Here is a 20,403-nt window from a genome sequence, read left to right as displayed (position 1 = left end):
GGAGCCCAGAAGGTGGGGGGGTCTGCATGGGGACCGGGCGGGAAGGAGGCGTGGGGCTGAGGGGCTGCCAGTGCTCCCAGCCAGCCGGCCGGCCTGTCAAAAGGCTTCTGTGCAGGGGGTGGGATGGGGGCTGTGGCTCCCTGTCCCACCTGGGAATGAACAGAGGCTGGGCAGTGGGGGAGGCAGACGCTGGGCTGGGGCTGGCCCCCAGTGGTGACCCAGGGCCCACCTGGCACCCATCTGCCTGCCCAAGGCAGACCCTGGCCTGGGAACCCCATCTCCTTGGGCTGAGATCCCACCCTGGGGCTGGGGAATGTTCCTGCCCTCCACCTTCCTTCTGGGGTCTCAACTCCTGCCAGGCAGCTGGCCTGACCTCAGATTTCCCCTAGCCCAAGGCTATGTCATCATGGGGGCGGCCTGAGGAGGGCTGAGCTCTCCCTGACCCTAGACTCTTCTTTACTGACAGGCTAGTGTCCATATGGATGGATCATTCATTCACTCATTCATTTATTTAATACACTCCCTGTCTGTTCGATGCACACTCCCCTTCTCTCCACTTCTGGCCCCGTTTCCTCTAATCCTTCATTCCTTGGTTCCCAGAGGGTTAAATGTAGATCGATATGTCACCTCTGGCTCCAAAGGTCTCTGAAGGGCCAGGTGCGGTGGCTCAAGCCTATAATCCTAGCACTTTGGGAGGCCGAGGTGGGTGGATCACCTGAGGTAAGGAGTTCGAGACCAGCCTGGCCAACAAGGTGAAACCCCATCTCTACTAAAAACACAAAAATTAGCCGGACTTGGTGGTGGGCGCCTGTAATCCCAGCTACTCAGGAGGCTGAGGCAGGAGAATCACTTGAACCTGGGAGGCAGAGGTTGCAGTGAGCCAAGATCACACCACTGCACTCCAGCCTGGGCAACAAGAGGGAAACAAAAAAACAAAAAACAAAACAAACAAAAATAAATAATTTAAAAATAAGGGTCTCTGAAGACTTCCTGCTACTTTCTGGGTCCATGCCCCTCCTCTCCGTCCTCCACTTCCCACCGGGCTCTTCAGGCTCCAGCCTAGATAACACCAGGTTAAATTTTGATCTCCCGGGGACTGGGTGTCGGGAGGGAAAGGCGGGGGGAGTGTCAGAGAGGGGATGGATTTCTCCCACCACACTTGGGGAGGCCTCCGGATGGATATGTCCTTCCAGCTGATGGACCTCAGGATTGGGAGAAAGATCGGGGACAAGAGACGGGCACAACAGTCACCTGGTTTCTTTTTCTTCCTTTATTTTTTGAGACTGAGTCTCGCTTTATCACCTAGGCTAGAGTGCAGTGACACGATCTTGGCTCACTGCAACCTCCACTTCCCAGGTTCAAATGATTCTCCTGCCTCAGCCTTCCGAGTATCTGGGATTACAGGCGTGCACTGCCATACCCGACTAATTTTTGGATTTTAGTAGAGATGGGGTTTTGCCATGTTGGCCAGGCTGGTCTTGAACTCCTGACCTCAAGTGATCTGCCCACCTTGGCCTCCCAACGTGTTGGGATTACAGGTGTGAGCCACCGTGCCCAGCCACATGGTGTCTTCCATGACAGCTCCCTCTCTGCTGAAATAGCATTTCCCACCCCCACCCATGGCATCACTCTTCTGCTGCCATTTTCATCAAAGACTGATGTCACTTGGCATGTTTTTAGGTTTTTTTCTGGTGGCTTTTATTTTTTTAATTTTAGAGATGAGGTCTCACTATGTTGCCCAGCCTAGTCTCAAATTCCTAAGCTCAAGGGATCCACCTGCCTCTATCTCCCAAAGTGCTGGGGTTACAGGCATGCACCACCACGCCTGGACCACATTGCATGCATTTTATTTAAATTTTTTTTTTTTTTTTTTTAAGACGGAGTCTCATTCTGTCACCCAGGCTGAAGTGTAGTGGTGCGATCTTGGCTCACTGCAATCCCGGGTTCAAGCAATTCTCCTGCCTCAGCCTCCCGAGTAGCTGGGATTACAGGCGTGAGCCACTGTGCCCGGCCTTTATTTAAGATTTGCCTCCTTAACCATTACACCTGTAATCCCAGCCCTTTGGGAGGCTGAGGTGGGCAGATCACCTGAGTTCAGGTGTTCAAGACCAGCCAGGCCAAGATGGTGAAACCACATCTCTACTAAAAATTCCAAAATTAGCCAGGCGTGGTGGCAGGCACCTGTAGTCCCAGCTAATCAGAAGGCTGAGGCAGGGGAATTGCTTGAACCTGGGAGGTGGAGGTTGCAGTGAGCCAAGATTGCACCACTGCACTCCAGCCTGGGCAGCAGAGTGAGACTGTCTCACAAAAAAAAAAAAAAAAGAAGTGTCAGGTGCTGGCAGAGACACTGCTTTTCCCTAATTGACCCGTTTGGTCCTCACATTAACCATATTTTACAGCTACTCTCATTTACAGATAAGGAAACTGGGCCAATGAGGAGGTGAGAAATCGCTCAAGGCTGCCAGGTACAGTGGCTCATCCCTGTAATCCCAGCACTTTGGGAGGCCAAGGGAGGAGGATTAATTGAGGCCAGGAGTTTGAGACCAGCCTAGGCAACATAATGAGACTCTGTCTCTACAAAAAATTTAAAAATTAGTGGGGTGTGGTGATGCATGTGTAGTCCCAGCTACTCCGGAGGCTGAGGTGGGAGGATCGCTTGATCCCAGGTGTCTGAGACAGTAGTGAGCTACGACTGCACCACTGCACTACAACCTCGGTGATGCAATGAGATGCTGTCTCAAAAAAAAAACACACACACACACAAAACAACAAAAAAACAAATTGTTCAAGGCGAGCCTGGTGTGCCAAGCCCTTGTTCTGGGCACTTGGCTTATATTATCTCCCTTAATCCTTCCCACCACCCCAAGTGCTAGATACTGGGATTAATTTAGTTGAGCTGTAATACATCAATACTGTGTGAAATGCTATGCAACATCTAAAAGGAAGACAGGTGGAGCTTTTATTTATTTTTTATTTTATTTATTTTTTGAGACGCAGTCTCGCTGCATTACCCAACCTGGAGTGCAGTGGCACAATCACAGCTCACTGTAGCCTCAACCTCCTGGGTTCAAACAATCCTCCCACCTCAGCCTCTCAAGTAGCTGGGACTACAGGCTTACACCACCAAGCTTGGCTAATTTTTTTTTTTTTTTAAGAGATGGTGTTTTGCTAAGTTGCCCACACTGATCTCAAAATCCTTTTGTTTTTGCTTTGGAATGGTCTGGAACTCCTGAGCTCAAGTGATCCTCCCACCTTGGCCTCCCAAAGGCCTGGGATTACACGTATGAGCCACCGCACCAAGCCCAGGTTGAGCTTTTAAGGTATTAAAGATCCACTAGGTGAAAAAAAAGAGTGAAAGATACATATGCCATTTAAGGGAAGCACAGGAAAACTCCTATTTTGTTTATATGTGAATAGAGGCGCATAGATGCCTAGAAAAGTGTCTGGGAGGGAATGAAACCAGATTGGCCACAAAAATCACCTCTGGAAAAAGGAAAAGAATGGGGACTTTCACTTTTTGCTTCATATGTTTCATGCACCTTTTTTTTTTTTTTTTTTTGAGATGGAGTTTCACTCTTATTGCCCAGGCTGGGGTGCAGTGGTGCAATCTCAGCTCACTGCAACCTCTGCCTCCTAGGTTCAAGCGATTCTCCTGCCTCAGCCTCCCGAGTAGCTGGGATTACAGGCATGCGCCACCACGCCCAGCTAATTTTTTGTGTTTTTAGTAGAGACGAGGTTTCTCCATGTTGGTCAGGCTGGTCTCGAACTCCTGACATCAGGTGATCCGCCCACCTTGGCCTCCCAAAGTGCTGGGATTACAGGCGTGAGCCACCGCGCCCAGCCGCTTTTTCTTTTTAAAAAGTAAAATATAACAGAGAAAACTGCACAAAACAGAAGTGTTCAAATTAAATTTTTTTTTTTTGAGACAGGGTCTTGCCCTGTTGCCCAGGCTGGAGTGCAGTGGCTCATTCATAGCTCACTGCAGCCTCAAACTCCTGGGTTCAAGCGATCCTCCCACCCCAGCCTCCTGAGTGGCTGGAAGGCCAAGGGAGGATCGCTTGAGCCCAGGAGTTTGAGGCTGTGCCACCACACGCAGCTGGGTTTTTTTTTTTTTTTTTAATTTTTTGTAGAGACAGGGTCTCACTATGTCACCCACGCTGGTCTCAAACTCACGGGCTCAAGCAATCCTCCCATCTTTGGCCTCCCAAAGTACTGAGACTACAAACATGAGCCATCTTGCCCAGCCCCTAGAACGTGTTATCAAATAAACACCGATGCAACCCTCACTCAGCCGAGAAGTAAAACATTGCCAGCCAATCCCTAAATGCTTCTGCTTGCCGCTTCCCAATCCTAACCAATGCCTTCTCCTGACAATTATGATGGTCATGTCTTTGCATTTCTCTAATGTTTCCCATCACGATCAAACTAGTTTTGTTTTGCCTGTGTCCAAACTTTGCATAAATGAGCAGCATGTGTCTGGTGGACCTGGCTTCTTCCACTCAACATTATGATAAGAAGATTGACCATTTGGTGCCCATAGCTATTGCTCTTGCATTTTCATTGCTCTATAGATTCTTACTCAACATACCTTAAAATTTTTTTTATTCTGAAATAAGAGCGGGATGCTATTAAAAAAAGAAAAAAGAAGAGAACAAAAAAGTCCTCCAGTAAATTTAAAATATGGTAGTCAAGGCCGGGCACGGTGGCTCACACCTGTAATCCCAGCACTTTGGGAGGCTGAGGTGGGTGGATCACCCGAGGTCAGGAGTTCGAGACCAGCCCGGCCAACATGGCAAAACCCTGTCTCTACGAAAAAAATACATAAATCAGCCAGGTGTGGTGGTGTGCACCCGTAATCCCAGCTACTTGGGAGGCTGAGACATGAGAATTGCTTGAGCCCGGGAGGCAGAGGTTTCGGTGAGCTGAGAACTGCCACTGCACTCCAGCCTGGGTGACAGAATGAGACTATAAAAGAAAGAAAGAGAGAAAGAGAGAGAGAAAGGAAGGAGAGAAGGGAAGGGAGGGGAGGAGAGGGGAAGGGAGGGGAGGGGAGGGGAGAGAAGGGGAAGGGAAGGGAAGGAGAAGGGAAAGGGAAGGGAAGAAAATTAGAGATTAATTCAGGAGATTCAACATCCGCCTAATAGAAATTCTAGAAAGAGGAAGTAGAGAATAGAGAGGCCAGGTGCAGTGGCTCACACCTATAATCTCAGCACTTTGGGAGGCTGAAGTAGGAGGATTGCTTAAGGCCAGGAGTTTGAGGCTGCAGTGAGCTATGATTGAGCCACTGTACTCCAGCCTGGAAAACAAAGCAAGACCTCGTCTCTAAAAGTAATAATACACCGGGACGGTGGCTCCCCACACTTTGGGAGCCTAAGGTGGGCGGATCACTTGAGGTCAGGCTTTCGAGATCAGCCTGGCCAACATGATGAAACCCAATCTCCACTAAAAATAAAAAAATTAGCCAGGTGTGGTGCTGCACACCTGTAACCCCAGCTACCTGGAGGAGACAGGAGAATTGCTTGAACCCGGGAGATGGAGGTTGCATGAGGCGAGATCGCCTCATTGCACTCCAGCCTGGGTGATAGAATGAGACTCTGTCTCAAAATAATAATAATAATAATAAAGTTAAATATAAATAAATAAAAGCAAATGAATATAATGAGTTTTATTCATTTGTTTTGCTGTTGTTATTGTTTTGGAGACAGAGTTTTGTTCTTGTCGCCCAGGCTGGAGTACAATGATGCGATCTGGTCTCACTGCAACCTTCGCTTCCTGGGTTCAAGCGATTCTTCTGCCTTAGTCTCCTGAGTAGCTGGGATTAGAGGCGTGTGACACCACGCCCGGGTAATTTTTGTATTTTTAGTAGAGATGGGGTTTCACCATGTTGGCCAGGCTGGTCTCGAACTCCTGACCTCAGGTGATCCACCAACCTGGGCCTCCCAAAGTGCTGGGATTACAGGTATGAGCTATCATGCCTGGCCCCATTTCTTTTAAAATCAGAAGGAAAAAATATATATAACTTTTAGGCCAAAAATGTCTTCACGTATATTAATAGATTGATCTTTTCCCAATGCAACCATAAATATCATTTTTTAAAATTATTATTATTTTAGAAACAGGGTCTCACTCTGACGCCCAGGCTGAAGTGCAGTGGTATGATCTTAGCTCACTGCAGCCTCCAATTCCTGGGCTCAAGCGATCCTCCCACATCAGCTTCTTGAATGTGACCTCAGGCAGACGTCACCGTGCCCAGCTAATTTTTAATGTAATTTTATTTTTTTGGTAAAGATGGGTTCTCATTATGTTGCCCAGGCCAGTCTTGAACTCCTGGCCTCAAGTGATCCTCCTGCCTTGGCCTCCTAAGGTGCTGGTATTATAGGATTGAGCCACCAAGCCCGGCCCGAATATAATTTTTAATTTTTTTTTTTAAGACAGAGTTTCACTCTTGTTGCCTAGGCTGGAGTGCAGTGGCATGATCTCGGCTGACCGCAACCTCCACCTCCCGGGTTCAAGCGATTCTCCTGCCTCAGCCTCCTGAGTAGCTGGGATTACAGGCATGCACCACCACACCCAAATAATTTTCTATTTTTAGTAGGGACAGGGTTTCTCCACATTGGTCAGGCTGGTCTTGAACTCCCGACCTCAGGTGATCCTCCCACCTCGGCCTCATAAAGTGCTGGGATTACAGGCATGTGCCACCACGCCCGGCCTAATTTTCTAATTTTTTTTTTTAACTGAAGAAGGACCCCAGGAAGTCAAAAGTGCCTATAACCCATGAAAGTCTAAATGAGGACAACGGAGGCTGGGCATGGTGGCTCACTCCTGTAATCCCAGCACTTTGGGAGGCCAAGGTGGGCGGATCACCTGAGGTCAGGAGTTTGAGACCAGCCTGGCCAACATAGTGAAACCCTGTCTCTACTAAAAAACACAAAAATTAGTCGGGTGTGGTGGCGGGCACCTATGATCACAGCTACTCAGGAGGGTGAGGCAGGAGAATCGCTTGAACCTAGGAGGCGGAGGCTGCAGTGGGCTGAGATCGCACCACTGCACTCCAGCCTGGGGGACAGAGCGAGACCCCGTCTCAAACAAACAAAACAAAACAAAATGAGGACAATGGGGCTTCCAATGGCAACTCGAGACGTTAGTTTACTCCAGAGTCATGGAGACAGTGAATGGAGTGTGTGTGTGTGTGTGTGTGTGCGTGTGCGTGAGTGAGAGAGAGAGAGAGGAAGAAGGGAGGGAGGGAGGGTTACAGGAGTGTGGGAAAGTCAACAGGAAAAGGAGGGAAGGTTCGCTGTGAACTGACAGTAACTGTGACATCACAGGCATGTGCGGAGTCCCCGCCCCCCCAGGCACTGTGCCAAGGCCAGTACCTTCATGTCATGAGACCCTCTCAGCAACTCTGTAACCTTGTCCCCACCAAAATATTCCTTTCACAGCTGAGAAAACAACAGCACAGAGAGGATGAATTAAAAATTGTCTAACATGCTGGGCGCAGTGGCTCACGCCTGTAATCCCAGCACTTTGGGATGATGAGGCAGGTGGATCACAAGGTCAAGAGATCAAGACCATCCTGGCTAACACGGTGAAAACCCGTCTCTACTAAAAATACAAAAAAGTTAGCCAGGCGTGGTGGCGGGCGCCTGTAGTCCCAGCTGCTCGGGAGGCTGAGGCAGGAGTTGCTGGGCACTGGACACAAGGATTTCTATCAGTGTGCTCTCCTGCACATCACCCAGGTCTGGAGTGCCAGGAGGATCAAAAACATAGAATCAAAGATTAGCCACCTTCCAACTCCAAGTTTCCCCCACCCCATGCCACCGTTCCTGCCTTGTACAAGTGAAGCAAGCAATCTCTCCTGGTTTCACCCTAGGAGGTGGAAGGTCCCTGGCCCTGGCTCCATGTGGCACGTGCTCTGGTCCTTCTCCAGCAGCAGGCTTGTCAGACCCTCCCAGTCCTTCAGCTGAGTCCCTGCACAGTCCCACAGGTTGTCTACTAAGTAAGCAGCGTGGTCGTGGAGCTGGGGAAGGAGGTGCATGGGGATTTAGTGATGGCATGTTAAAATACCCTAGGAAGTGGTTACTGATTAAATATCGCTCTCCTTCCTACAGTGTACACCCCCATCCTTCTCCATCTGTCTTTTTTTTTTTTTTTTTTTTTTGGTAGAGACAGGGTCTCACTATGTTGCCCAAGCTGGTCTCAAACTCCTGGGCTCAAAGGATCCTCCCACCTCAGCCTCCCAAAGTGTTGGGCTTACAGGCGTGAACCACCAACCCCAGCCCACTTGTAGGTCCTATGCACAACAGCCAGAGTTATCTCTGTGTATGTCACCTTGCTCTCCACAAAGAAGGACAGCAGAAGCTGGAAGAAAGTCCTCTGGGCACCTGGGCTCTGGCGTTGCTCTCTTCCACCCATCGTTCTTATCTCGCACTCAGGGTAGAAAAGTCTGGTGGAATGGACACAAGGAAAGGGCTCAGCACAGGAGGAAACAAGGAGGTGTAATGATGACCACAGAGGGAGGAGATGGCCCAAGGAGATGATAAAGGAAAAGGAGGTGCAGAGCTAAGGAAAGCCCCAAGGAGCTGAGAGAGGAAAAGAGACAGCAGAGAGACTTCCACGGAGATGGGGAGGCCTTAAGTAGGGCAGCAGCACATGTGGGAGAGAAACCGAGAGGGTGGTGTTAAAGAAACGTAAAAGGAGCCCCACTCACTTCCAGTACAGAAATTCACCCACAGCAGAGGCCAGGCCTCAATTAGAGGCCTACACAATGGGGTAGACGCTCTCACAGTCCACGTCCATCAGCACCCCTTCCATGTTCCTGCCCACAGAAAAGCAGAAAGAGTGTGTGAATAGGGACATTGTCTTCTGGCACAATCAAGGCTAGAAAGAAAAAGAGGCAAAAGCAACAAGGACATAACTCACAAAAAACTCCTAAATGGAGAGTGGAAGACAAGGGAGTATGGGGAGTTAGAGAAGACAGAAATATTACCCTCTCAACATACTGCAACTCAGGAATGACCTCAGTCAACCTGCACAGATGGAAGAGTCAGCTGTGACAGGTGGAGGGAGATGACCCTGGAAGGGCAAAGGTCTGAGACACTGGCCTCCCCTCTTCCCAGGACTCACTTAAGGATAAGTATCAGTAATCTGACGGCCTCCACTGCCACACTGTACTCTCTGTCCATGATCATGGAAACCATCCAGTCCTGCAGAAAGGAGAAAGTCACTCAATATCTCATTACGCCCATTCCAAATATTCTGTTCTCTTAGAATCAGAGCCTCCTAAAGAGAGTGCCTACGTAGAGGCAGATGCTGGGATAGCCAAGACATCTTAGAGCATGAAGGGTAGAAAGATACAAGGTGGGGAAACGGGAACCACGACAAAGAGCCAAGCCAAGGAGCACCACCCGTCTCACCTTGAAGCGGCCAGTGAAGAGCTCCAGGCGTGCGGTCAGGTCCCGGTTACCGTACAGCCCTTTCAGAGCCTTCACGCACTTCACGCGGACTTCTCGGTGCTGGTGAGGAGGGAAAACCAAGAGAATGGAAATAAGACCAACCACACTCTACTCGCCCCTACTGAGCGTCCAGACTCCCCTCTCCGATCCCTCATTCTAGCTTGGGTGTCCCCTCTACTGAGGACTCTGAGATGTCAGAAACAATGAACAGCTGTCTTCATACTTAAAAAAAAAAAAGGATCACAGCAGTACTCATGATGAGAAGGATCCTTTGGCTGCCCCTTAGCACCTGCATTACCATCCATCAATAACTGTCTTCCATTGTAAAGTCTCTCTCCCCGTACCTCATGTTTTGAGTCATTTCATCTCCTGGGTATGTCTCTCTCTACCTTATCCTACCCTCCCCAGTGCTAGCGGAGTTTCAAGGTTCAGCGCCTTGATGGGTTAATCATTGGTCACTAGGTAAAATATCTCAGTGGCAGGCCCAGGAAAAGGTGAAGTGTCCTAGGACAGGAAAAAGATGAAGGAAACGGAAAGGGAAACTGACTCGAATCCCACCTTATCATGCAGAGTCCAACCAATATATTTTAAATAGCTGTCGGTGAGGAAAGACGTGCTGTAGCTTTGCATCCAACACCCAATTTCCTCAATGCAGATAGCACGGATCTCAGGAAGGACATCCCTAGACACAGACAGATAAGTTGACTCTTAGAGCCACCCTCTCTCCAAACTCACTTTCCATCCTACCAGTTAACTCCCTCTCATGGAAGAATTTATTTTCTTGAAATGCCATGTACCCCATGCCTTTCATTTCTTCCTCCCGATGTAAATACTATATATATAGTAAAATACATGTAAATATTTTTTCTCTTTTTTTTAAGGGATGGGGTCTCTTGCTGTGTTGCCCAAGCTGGCCTTGAACTCCTGGGTTCAAGTCATCTTCCCACTTTGGCCTCTCAAGTAGCTAGGACTACAAAAATGTGCCATACCCAGTTAGTAAATATTTTCTTTCTGTTACCAAACCATAAAATAGTTAAACACCAGCCTTGTACAGCCTAATTCTCCACTCCACCTGTTGCCCAGGCTGGAGTGCAGCGGCACAATCTCAGCTCACTGCAACCTCTACCTCTCGGGTTCAAGTGATTCTCCTGCTTCAGCCTCCTGAGTAGCTGGGATTACAGGTGCACCACCACGCCCAGCTACCTTTTTGTATTTTTAGTAGAGATGGGGTTTCACCATGTTGGCCAGGCTGGTCTCGAACTTCTGACCTCAAGTGATCTGCCCGTCTTGGCCTCCCAAAGTGCTGGAGTTACAGGTGTGAGCCACTGCACCCGGCCTCCATACCTCTTTTAAAAACCAATTTTGAAAGTTCATTCAGGCTGGGCATGGTGGCCAAAAATTAGCCAAGCATGGTGGCGGGTGCCTGTAGTCCCAGCTACTTGGCAGGCTGAGGCAGGAGAATCGCCTGAACCCGGGAGGCGGAGGTGCAGTGAGCCAAGATCGCGTCACTGCACTCCAGCCTGGTGACAGAGCAAGACTCCGTTTCAAATAAAAAACTAACACACTGTACAACTGCATGTAAGGTGGAAAAGACAACTGGAATTAAAATGTGCTCAGGTCCTTGTAGAAGATAAGAAATCCAGAGGAAAGCAAGCAAAGGGGGAAAAAGAAACAGAAAAGATAAAATGATTGTACCAACTCAATACTAGGCCATAAGGCTAAGTCTCCATAAATGTCTTTTTTTTTTTTTTTTTTTTTTTGAGACAGAGTATCACTCTGTCACCCAGGCTGGAGTGCCGTGGCACAATCTCAGCTCACTGCAACCTCCACCTCCTGGGTTCAAGCAATTCTCATGCCTCAGCCTCCCAAGTGGCTGGGATTACAGACAAATGCCACCACATGCAGCTAATTTGTGTATTTTTAATAGAGATGGGGTTTCGCCATGTTGGCCAGGCTGGTCTCGAACTCCTGGCCTCAAGTGATCTGCCTGCCTCAGCCTCCCCAAGTGCTGGGATCACAGATGTGAGCCACTGTGCCCAGCCCCTACATAAATTTCAAACACCACATTCCCTGACTACAACACAATAAAGTTAGAAATCAAATAACGAAAATATAACTAGCAAAATTCTGTATGTTTGAAAATTTTAAATATTTTCCCAGAAACTATAAAACTACATGTTAATGTGGATAAATCTCAAACAATCTTAACTGAAATAATTAAATCACAGAAGCCTGAATAATGGATTCATTTACATAATTAAAGAACACATTCATAGTGGTAACACTATAATGAAAGATGAGAAAGATTAACACAAAGTTCACCCTAGTGTTTACCTATGGGTAATAAGGGGACTGTGAGGTAGGGTAGAAAGAAGGTACACAAAGGATCTCTACAGCACTATTAATGTTTCATTTCTTGAGCTGGGGCTAGAGATCTGGGTGATATCTCATTTTTATTTTTTAAACTACATATACGCTTTGTACACTTTCAGATATTAGAACTTCAATAAAATTATAAAAAAAGAAACAGAGAGGGAAAAAATAATTAAGTATAATTGTCAAGATGGAGCTAAAAAATAACACGGGTGAACAAGGTGCCACCCACATCTAAGCTTCCTTCCCATGTCATGCAATGCCTCTCCTCATCTGCTCCATCAATCAATAAAGGCATAATCACTCCTGTGATACCTTTAAGAAAAGAACACGCTTTAAGAAAAGAAACGCTCTCTCGAAGCCGAGTGCGGTGGCTCACACCTGTAATCCCAGCACTTTGGGAGGCCGAGGCAGGCGGATCACCTGAGGTCAGGAGTTGGAGACCAGCCTGGCCGACATGGCGAAACCCCATCTCTACTAAAAATACAAAAATTAGCTAGGCATGGTGGCACATGCCTGTAAGCCCAGCTACTTGGGAGGCCTCAGCCTCCCAAGACCATGAGAATCGCTTGAACCCAGGAGGCAGAGGCTGCAGTGAGCTGAGACTGTGCCACTGCACTCCAGCCTGGGCAACAGAAAGAGACTGTCTCAAAAAAAAAAAAAAAAAAAAAAGAACATGCTCTCTTATTCAAGGTTACCCTTCTATCACTCCAAGGATTCACCCCATAATCTTATCTTTCTTGATATGTTACACTCACTAAAATGTTCACATCAAATCAAGTTTGTAGACACTTGTCCTTACCACCTTACAAAAAGTGAGATGGTATCAACAGAGGTAAGACACTGCTTTTACCTGCATGTCACTTTTGGCAGCTTTCGCAGCATTGAAAAGATCATTGGCTGGTGGCTCTGACTGTTTCCGGCTATGACGATGTACCGCTTGGGACCCTTTCTTTGGATATTTTGCCACCTGATACACATAAAAAGATCAGAAATATGAAAAAAAGGTAACAGTGACATTAACACTTGGTTTCATCATTATCACACAAGTAGGCTTACGCTGCCAATTCCACAGCAGTCTGAGTTAGACTCAGTCCTGAAATAATTGATTTTTATATTATGAAGTTTATTAACTTTTTTCCCTTTAAAAAAAAAATTCCTTGAGTCTCCTTCCCGTATCTCTATAACCAAACATCCTTTTCTTTTCTTTTCTCTTCGAAATTTCTCTTCTTCCTATTTCCGTCCCTTAATACTTTGTAAATCTTGTCCTTTTTTGAACCATATCACCTGAACCTCTTAGGTTTTCTCTTTTTTTTGAGACGGAGTCTCGCTCTGTCGCCCAGGCTGGCGTGCAGTGGCGTGATCTCGGCTCACTGCCAGCTCTGCCCCCGGGGTTCGTGCCATTCTCCTGCCTCAGCCTCCCGAATAGCTGGGCTGCTTCCCCCACAAGATTCAAAAACAAAAGAAAACTGGCTGACTCACCGGCGTTGTTTTCAGTGGTCGTTTTGCTGCTTTCTTCTTCACACCGCGATTGAAGCTGTCCTCAAATCATTTTCTTGTCTTCTTGTCTATTTGTATGAATTACTGAGTTACATTCTCATTGCTACTTATTTAAGCAAAGTATTCTTAGTTTGTTAAGAACAAAGAACTACAAATTGTGTTCATTTTCTGTCCTTTCCTGTTCTTAGACTAAATTACCTGAAATACATCAAAATATATGCTGTATGCTTACCTATATCAAAACTATGTTGTTTAGGTGCCGGGCACAGTGGCTCACACCTGTAATCCAGCACTTTGGGAGTTCAAGGCGGGCGGATCGCCTGAGGTCAGGAGTTCAAGACCAGCCTGGTCAACATGGCAAAACCCCGTCTCTACTAAAAATACAAAAATTAGCCAGGTGCAGTGGACAGTGCCTGTAATCTCAGCTACTCATGAGGCTGAGGCCTGAGAATTGCTTGAACCCAGGAGGCCAAGGTGGCAGTGAGCTGAGATCATGCCACTGCACTCCAGCCTGGGTGACAGAGTGAAACTCCGTCTGAAAAAAACAAAACAAACAAACAAACAAAAAACCAGACCACATTGTTTAGGGATACTTAGCTGACAAAATAATAGAGACAAGCATGACATAATTACCATAAAAATCAGGCCCTGGGGTGCTGGTGGGGAAGGTTTAAGTGGAAAGAATGGAGCGGTGACAATGTGTGTCAACCTGGGAGGTGGTGACCCTGGGGTTCGCTTTGTAATTCCTCAAAATGAGCATTTATGTGCTATTCACTTTTCAGAGGATAGAATTCTGAACTAAAATGTTTAAGCAGCCATACGCAAAAAAAAAAGAAAAAATATGGATAGATTTTTATTTTAATTAAAACATTTAAAAAATAGAGACAAGGCAGCTGGGCGTGGTGGCTCACGCCTGTAATCCCAGCAATTTGGGAGGCCGAGGCAGGCGAATCACGAGGTCAAGAGATCGAGACCATCCTGGCTAACACGGTGAAACCATGTCTCTACTAAAAATACAAAATAAAGTTAGCCAGGCGTGGTGGCGGGCGCCTGTAGTCCCAGCTACTGGGGAGGCTGAGGCAGGAGAATGGCGTGAACCCGGGAGGTGGAGCTTGCAGTGAGTCGAGATCAGGCCACTGCATTCCAGCCTGGGCAACAGAGCAAGACTCCAACTCAAAAAAAAAAAAAAACATAGAGACAAGGGTCTTGCTATGTTGCTCAGGGTGGTCTCAAACTCTCCGGGCTCAAGCAATCCTCCCGCTTCGGTCTCCCAAAGCGCTGAGATTCCAGGCGTGAACCACCGCGCTCGACCAGGAAAAAAATATATATATATATAATATACAATATATTTTATAATATATTATGTCATATATTACACATAATATACAATATGTATAATACGCATAATAAAGGTATATTTAATATATATAAAGATATATATGTATATAATAATTTTTTTTTTTGAGACGGAGTTTCACTCTTGCTGCCCAGGCTCGAGTGCAATGGCTCGATCTCAGCTCACTGCAAGCTCCGCCTCCAGGGTTCAAACCATTCTCCTGCCTCAGCCTCCCGAGTAGCTGCGATTACAGGCGCCCGACACACGCCCGGCTAATTTTTGCATTTTTAGTAGACACGGGGTTTCACCATGTTGGCCAGACTGGTCTCGAACTCCTGATCTCAGGTGATCCGCCCGCCTCGGCCTCCCAAAGTGCCGGGATTACAGGCGTGAGCCACGGCGCCCGGCCTGAATAAATCTTTTAAAACATAAAAATCTGGGTAAGCCCCTGGCCGGCCGGCACAGATGCCGGGGTGGGGCCGCGAATCGGTTGGGACGCACTCTATCCGGCCTAGGGGCACCCGGGCCAGCACCCGGCCGCCGCGCGTGCGCAGTGGGCGGGGGGCCCCGCGCTCCTACCTGCAAGTGGCCAGTGCCAAGTGCTGGGCCGCCGCTCCTGCCGTGCATGTTGGGGAGCCAGTACATGCAGGTGGGCTCCACACGGAGAGGGGCGCAGACCCGGTGATAGGGCTTTACCTGGTACATCGGCATGGCGCAACCAAAGCAAGAGAGGGTGGCGCGTGCCAGACACCAACGGTCGGAAACCGCCAGACACCAACGGTCGGAAACCGCCAGACACCAACGCTTGGAAACCGCCAGACACCAAGGCTCGGAATACACGCCAGACCACGACGGAGGGCGACCACCTCCCTTCTGACCCTGCTGCGGGCGTTCGGAAAAAAAAAAAAAAAAACGCAGTCCGGTGTGCTCTGATTGGTCCAGGCTCTTTGACGTCACGGACTCGACCTTTGACAGAGCCACTAGGCGAAAAGGAGAGACGGGAAGTATTTTTTCCGCCCCGCCCGGAAAGGGTGGAGCACAACGTCGAAAGCAGCCAATGGGAGCCCAGGAGGCGGGGCGCCTGTGGGAGCCGTTGAGGGCACTTTCCCAGTCCCCGAGGCGGATCCGGTGTTGCATCCTTGGAGAGAGCTGAGAGCTCGAGGTGAGCTGGGCTCGCGGTCGCCCCTCTCGCGCGCCCTCTTTGAGAACCACGGCTTCCAACCTCCCTGGAAATGGGGGGAACATGGCCGAGGCGCGTGGGAGGCCGCCTCGTGGAGGCCCCGGAGCGGCATCCTCAGCGCCCCAGCGATCCGGTGCCCATTAGGTGCGCCTTGAAGCCGAGGCAAGCTCCTTCGGGGTGCTGGGCTGCGGGCAAAGAATTCGGCCCTGTGAAGAGTTGGGTTCGGCCTGTCTCAGGCCCTGCCCACATCCCATCACAGGGCCGTGGACTTGAAGCCGGAACGTGAAATCCCCATAGACTGAATGCATTTCCTTTCTACCTGTTCTCTCTCCCCTTTTATTTTTATTTTTATATTATTTTATTTTTAATTTTTATTTTATTTTTTTGTAGAGACGGGGATTTCGCTATGTTGCCCAAGCTGGTCTGGAACTCCGGAGCTCAAGCAGTCCGCCCGCCTTGGCCCCCCAAAGCGCTGGAATTACAGGCGTAATGCACTGTGCCTGGCCTTTTAAAAAAAAATTGAGGTTATTTTGGGGACAGTAGAGCGTCCAGACACATCCTAATTTGCGTAGCTGCTCAGTTTTAAAAAATGCAATGCATTTTTACCTGTTAGGGTATGTGATTTCTGGCTGGTAAGCTACACCGAATCTTGGCTAGCACAGTTGAATTCCATGTCAGATTTGTAAACGCAAATTTGCTCTCTGCATTTAAATATATTAGATATATTTAGGTAACTACATTTAAATGTATTGAGACATTTAAATAAATTTGCCGTCTGTATCTAAATATCTGAAGTGGACCAGGTGCGGTGGCTCACACCTATAATCCCATCACTTTGGGAGGCCAAGGCAAGTGGATCATGAGGTCAGGAGTTCACGACCAGCCTGGCCAACATGGTGAAATCCCATTTCTACTAAAAATACAAAAATTAGCTGGGCGTGGTGGCAGGCGCCTGTAATCCTAGCTACTTGGGAGGCTGAGGCAGGAGAATCGCTGGAACCCAGGAGACAGAGGTTGCAGTGAGCTGAGATTGCACCACTGCAGTCTAGCCTGGGTGACACAGCAAGACTCCATCTCAAAAAAAAAAAGAAAAAAAATCAGAAGTGAACCTGTAGCCTGTAGTGTGTTGCCAAATAAACTTATTTTTAGAGATACTTCTTTCCATTTTCTGTGAGGTCATCTGCAGTTTCACATGGTAGACAGACTTAGGTGAGATTCTTAGCAACATAGAATGAAGAGTAAAGAGGTTTGTTTATTTCACAAGGGTTTATTGAAGGCCTACGATGTGTTAAATGCTGTAGGAAATACCCACTGATTTCTCTTTTCATGGAGGTTTCCCGCCTTCTCTTAACGAGTGATCAATTAAACTGTTTACTGGGAACTTGCTAAGTTAATGAACACACGGGATACATTCTTTGGATGAGCAGACATTGGTTGGGCAGAGGGGCAAGAGGAGAGCAGTTTAGACAGAGACCTGCTTATACACTGTAGTGTCTAAGAGAGCTTGTGATGTTCAGGAAACAGTTGTTCACTGTGCTGCAATATAGGGGACGGCCAGTTGCGGTGGCTCACACCTGTAATCCTAGTGCTTTGGAAGGCCAAGGCGGGCAGATCACCTGAGGTCAGGAGTTAGAAACCAGCCTGGCCAACATGGTGAAACCCCATCTCTACTAAAAACACAAAAATTAGCTGAGTGTAATGGTGGATGCCTATAATCCCAGCAACTTGGGAGGCTGAGACAGGAGAATCACTTGAACTTGGGAGGTGGAGGTTGCAGTGAGCCGAGATCATGCCATTGCACTCTAGCCCAGGTGACAGGGTGAGACTCTGTCTCAAATAATAATAATAATAATAATAATAATAATGTAGGGGACTTGATGAAGGGAAAGGATCAGAGAGATTCTGAAAAGAAGGTAGTTTGGGGCCCAGTGATGACTAGATTTTAAGTTTCATATAGTAGGAAGTGGGGCACTAGTAATTTTTCAAGCAGAAAAATTATTTGACCAGATTCGTGATTTCAAAAATAGCTCTGGTGATAGAGTGGAGGATGGGTTGGAGCAGGGAATAAGGGGAAATGAAACCGTTATAAAACTCTTAAAGTGGGCTGGGCATGGTGGCTCACGCCTGTAATCCCAGCACTTTGGGAGGCTGAGGCGGGCGGATCACGAAGTCAGGAGATCGAGACCATCCTGGCTAAAACGGTGGAACCCTGTCTCTACTAAAAATACAAAAAATTAGCTGGGCATGGTGGTGGGCGCCTGTAGTCCCAGCCACTCAGGAGGCTGAGGCAGGAGAATGGTGTGAACCCGGGAGGCAGAGCTTGCAGCGAGCTAAGATCGTGCCACTGCACTCCAGCCTGGGCGACAGGGCGACAGAGCAAGAATCCGTCTCAAAAAAAAAAAAAAAAAAAAAAAAAACCTCTTAAAACAAGTACAGCAAGAACTTTGAGGGTCTTTGCTAAGACAGCAGCTGGCAGCTTCAATTTGGAGTAGGGTATCAAAGGCAACTGTGTATAAGGAATAGTTATATAACTGGTATCCAATTTCTGAGATGATTTTGACTTAAACATTGTGTATTTCCCAGCATACTGTTGGTTTTTCTAATTATGTGGGAAATTATGTTGCTTTTACTTTTTTTTTTGCTCATTGCCCAGCCTAGGGTGCAATGCTGCAATCTCAGCTCACTGCAACCTCCGCCTCCCAGGTTTAAGTGATTCTTCTGCCTCAGCCTCCCAAGTAGCTGGGATTACAGGCGCCCACCACCATGCCTGGCTAATTTTTTGTATTTTTGGTAGAGACAGGGTTTCACGACGTTGGCCAGGCTGGTCTCAAACTCCTGATCTCAAGTGATCCACCTGCCTCTGTGTCCCAAATTGCTGGGATTACAGGCATGAGCCACCGCACCGGCCATGCTTTCAGTTTTCAAGAAAGAAGACACCATTATTGCTAAAGATTTTGGTAATTTGAGAGATACAATGTATGTTTTCTCCATGTGGATACTAGATAGTAAGGATGTGTTGAATTTGAAGTGTCTATCCAGAAGTATTTTGGGTACTTGTTTAAGGATTGTAAAACAATGTTTCCATTTCTGGATATAATAAATGTATTTGTTAATATAATAAATGAATAGATTAGACCCATAAACTATTTGCAGTGTTGAGTCATTTCCCACAGTTAAAATCAGGATGAAAATATATAGCTGAATACTTGCTTTGTTTCTTGTAACTGATTTCTTTAGTACAGAACCTGCTAAGGCCATCAAACCTATTGATCGGAAGTCAGTCCATCAGATTTGCTCTGGGCCGGTGGTACTGAGTCTAAGCACTGCGGTGAAGAAGATAGTAGAAAACAGTCTGGATGCTGGTGCCGCTAATATTGGTAAGTTTGGGAGAGTTTTAAGCCACAAGAAATGATCAGTGAATGTTGTTGTAGTCAAGAAACATTTGTTATTGAAATAAGACTATCAAGTGTTGATGTAGTAATAAACTATTATTTTTAAGTTAAAGTTAGCACCTATTATGTGCCTAGTACTTAGCTAGGTAGTAATAATAATAACGACAGCTTTTCTTGTGTTCTTATGGTGTGCCAGGCAGGTGTTATGCTAAGAATTGCACAGAAATATCTCATTTAATTTGCAGAATAGCTGGGCGTGGTGTCTGACGCCTGTAATCCTAGCCCTTTGAGAGGCTGAGGTGGGGGGATTGCTTGAAGCCAAGAGTTCAAGACCAACCTGGCCAACATGGGGAGACCTCGTCTCTATTAAAAAATAAAGCAGGCCGGGTGTGGTGGCTCACGCCTGTAATCCCAGCACTTTGGGAGGCCAAGGCGGGTGGATACCTGAGGTCAGGAATTCGAGACCAGCCTGTCCAAAATGGTGAAACTCTGTCTCTACTAAAAATACAAAAATTAGCCAGACCTGGTGGCAGAAGCCTGTAATCCCAGCTACTGGGGAGGCTCAGGAATGAGAATTGTTTAAATTTGGGAGGTGGAGGTTGCAGTGAACCGAGATTGTGCCACTGCACGCCAGCCTGGGGACAGAGCAAGACTCTGTCTCAAAAAAATAAAATAAAATAAAATAAAATAAATCCTGGAGTAGTGGCTCACATCTGTAATCCCAGCACTTTGGGAGGCTGAGGGGGGCTGATGCTTTGAGGTCAGGAGTTCAAGACCAGCCTAACCAACGTGGTAAAACCCTGTCTCTACTAAAAATACAAAAATTAGCCAGATGTGATGGTGCATGGCTGTAATCTCAGCTCCTCAGAAGGCTGAGGGAGGAGAATTGCTTAAACCTGGGAGGTGGAGGTTGCAGTGAGCCAAGATCGATTGTGCCACTGCATTCCAGCCTGGGTGACAAGAGCAAAAGTCCATCTCAAAAAATTAAAAAAAAAAAAAAAAAAAGGAAAGAAAAAAAAGAAAATGACAAAATTAAAAAAAAATTATTAATCTGCCAAATAACTTTATGAGATAGAACTTATTACCTCCATTTTACAGTTGAGGAAATTAAGGGACAGTAAATTTCCTTTTTTTGAGATTATAAAGCTAATAAAATAGAATCTAGGAAGT

At 47.2% G+C, this 20,403-nt stretch overlaps 1 long non-coding RNA gene and 2 pseudogenes across 3 annotated transcripts in view, besides 1 other annotated feature; 2 read left to right on the top strand and 1 right to left on the bottom strand.

Annotated features, from left to right (window-relative positions):
* The first annotated feature begins 1,228 nt into the window (after positions 1-1,228).
* Positions 1,229-8,160, top strand: LOC124901677 (uncharacterized). The gene is made up of 2 exons (XR_007060390.1): positions 1,229-3,601; positions 7,070-8,160. It is a non-coding gene; the product is annotated as an uncharacterized LOC124901677 (long non-coding RNA).
* STAG3L1 (STAG3 cohesin complex component like 1 (pseudogene)) lies at positions 6,958-15,567 on the bottom strand (annotated as a pseudogene). Its single transcript, NR_040583.2, has 10 exons — positions 15,358-15,567; positions 13,558-13,696; positions 13,308-13,393; positions 12,679-12,795; positions 10,011-10,134; positions 9,414-9,512; positions 9,124-9,203; positions 8,708-8,815; positions 8,329-8,443; positions 6,958-8,017 (listed from the first exon to the last, which is right to left on the bottom strand). The product of NR_040583.2 is annotated as an STAG3 cohesin complex component like 1 (pseudogene) (transcript).
* Positions 15,493-16,022: an enhancer, noted in NCBI's record as "H3K27ac hESC enhancer chr7:74987999-74988519 (GRCh37/hg19 assembly coordinates)". NCBI's record gives its function as "activates a minimal SCP1, AML or CMV promoter by ChIP-STARR-seq in naive H9 embryonic stem cells {active_cell/tissue: H9 hESC(naive)}" and the evidence as "EXISTENCE:reporter gene assay evidence [ECO:0000049][PMID:30033119]".
* Positions 15,770-20,403, top strand: part of PMS2P2 (PMS1 homolog 2, mismatch repair system component pseudogene 2) — a 15,061-nt pseudogene continuing 10,427 nt past the window's right edge. Inside the window, exons 1-2 of the transcript NR_003614.3 lie at positions 15,770-15,823; positions 19,079-19,218. The product of NR_003614.3 is annotated as a PMS1 homolog 2, mismatch repair system component pseudogene 2 (transcript). The remainder of the gene's footprint in view (positions 15,824-19,078; positions 19,219-20,403) is intronic.

The sequence above is a fragment of the Homo sapiens genome, chromosome 7 (genome assembly GCF_000001405.40).
Source record: "Homo sapiens chromosome 7, GRCh38.p14 Primary Assembly".
Lineage (NCBI taxonomy): Eukaryota > Metazoa > Chordata > Mammalia > Primates > Hominidae > Homo > Homo sapiens.
The sequence above is the reverse complement of the archived record's forward strand: the minus strand, read 5'-3'. Positions and strand labels throughout refer to the sequence as shown.